This window comes from Homo sapiens, chromosome 7, assembly GCF_000001405.40.
Source record: "Homo sapiens chromosome 7, GRCh38.p14 Primary Assembly".
In the NCBI taxonomy this organism is placed as follows: Eukaryota; Metazoa; Chordata; class Mammalia; order Primates; family Hominidae; genus Homo; species Homo sapiens.
In genome coordinates this window covers 55,309,894-55,311,542 of record NC_000007.14, presented here as the reverse complement: position 1 = coordinate 55,311,542, position 1,649 = coordinate 55,309,894, and the positions used below count along the sequence as shown (strand labels likewise).

Sequence of the window (1,649 nt, the reverse complement as noted above, 5' to 3'; positions counted from 1 at the left end):
GCACTCCAGCCTGGGCACCATTGAGCACTGAGTGAACCAGACTCCGTCTGCAATCCCGGCACCTCGGGAGGCCGAGGCTGGCGGATCACTCGCGGTTAGGAGCTGGAGACCAGCCTGGCCAACACAGCAAAACCCCACCAAAAAAATACGAAAACCAGTCAGGCGTGGCGGCGCGCGCCTGCAATTGCAGGCACTCGGCAGGCTGAGGCAGGAGAATCAGGCAGGGAGATTGCAGTGAGCCGAGATGGCAGCAGTACAGTCCAGCTTCGGCTCGGCATCAGAGAGAGACTGTGCAAAGAGAGGGAGAGGGAGACCGTGGGGAGAGGGAGAGGGAGAGGTCAACTTTCCAATGAAATACTTAGGATGGACCTCATTATCTTTTCCTTCAAATCCTGCCTTCCTTCGTATTTTCTAGCAATGGTCGCCGTGTTATCCACCCAGCACCTCAAGCTACAGTCAGCCCTGACCTCATGCCCTCCATCCCTTTTCAAATATGTCACTAATATCTTTTGATTCCAGCTCCAAGACACATTGTGAATCTGTCCATATCTCTTCACATCCCTTGTCCCCACTTTAAATTGGTGCTTCTCAACTATAGGTGATTTCCCCCAACGAGGGACATTTGGCAATGTCCAGTGGACATATTTTTGTGTGTCATGACTCGGGGAGGGAGCTATTGGCATCCAGCAGGCAGAGCCAGGGATGCAAAGCATGCTGCCGTGCACAATACAGCCCTCACAGCAAAGATCAATGAGATGCCAAATGTCACTGATGTGGCTGTGGAGAAACCTGGCTCTGCAACACCCCTTCTTGCCTGCCTGGCGAATTCACCCAGTAACCAACTCACTGCGTCCATTCTTGCTGCACCTCTGACCTTCCTTCACAGGGCCTTTATAAATGCTAATTTGACCATATTACCATTCTGCTTAAAATGCTAATGATTTCCCAGGGCTTTCAAGATAAATCTCAAAATTCTGAACGTGGCTCACTAGCCTTGCATGGTGTGTCCCCTGCCAAGGTCACTGTCCAGCCTGTGGCTCTCTTCTCTAGCTGCCTGTGCTTCAGGAGTGCTGGTAACTGCCTCCTTCGGTTCCCTGGCTCCCACCCTCCATAGGTCCTTGGCGCTTCCTCTTCCTTTTGCCTGGCAGGCTCTCACTTTCCCTTACCTCCCTTCACTCTGCTCCTGCAGCTCCTGCAGATTTTAGTGCAGAGACCTTCTCACCAGGGAGGCCTTTCTGCATTTCCCAGACTGACTGGGAACGCCTAGTTGCAGCACTATAATTGTGATTAACCAGTAGTGTAATTGGTTGTTGGAAGTCTGAATCTTATGTGAAAACATCAGCTCTGCAGTGGCAGGGGCTGTATCCCCAGAGCCTATTGTGGGGCTTCCACCTAGAAGGGCCTCAAAGGACTATGAGCAAATGAATGAAACATGTGGTACCTAACGAATACCACTTCTGGTACACAGTAGGCACTCAGTAAATCCTTGAGGAATGGCTGACTATGTAAATGTCCTTGCGTCTACATTTTATTCAGCTTGAATGAATGAGATTTTCAGAATCTGTGTCCAGTTCCTGTCCTAGCAAACCAGGTCGAAGGCATCATGCTCTTCTGAGAGGTGTTTCTTCACTTTCCTTCAGTTTCAAATT

The 1,649-nt window shown here is 50.4% G+C and overlaps 1 annotated feature.

The window, feature by feature from the left end:
• Positions 562-746: a silencer, noted in NCBI's record as "fragment chr7:55378490-55378674 (GRCh37/hg19 assembly coordinates)". NCBI's record gives its function as "represses an EF-1alpha promoter that drives an FKBP-Casp9 reporter gene in an ReSE screen in phorbol 12-myristate 13-acetate-treated (for megakaryocytic differentiation) K562 erythroleukemia cells {active_cell/tissue: K562(+PMA)}" and the evidence as "EXISTENCE:reporter gene assay evidence [ECO:0000049][PMID:32094911]".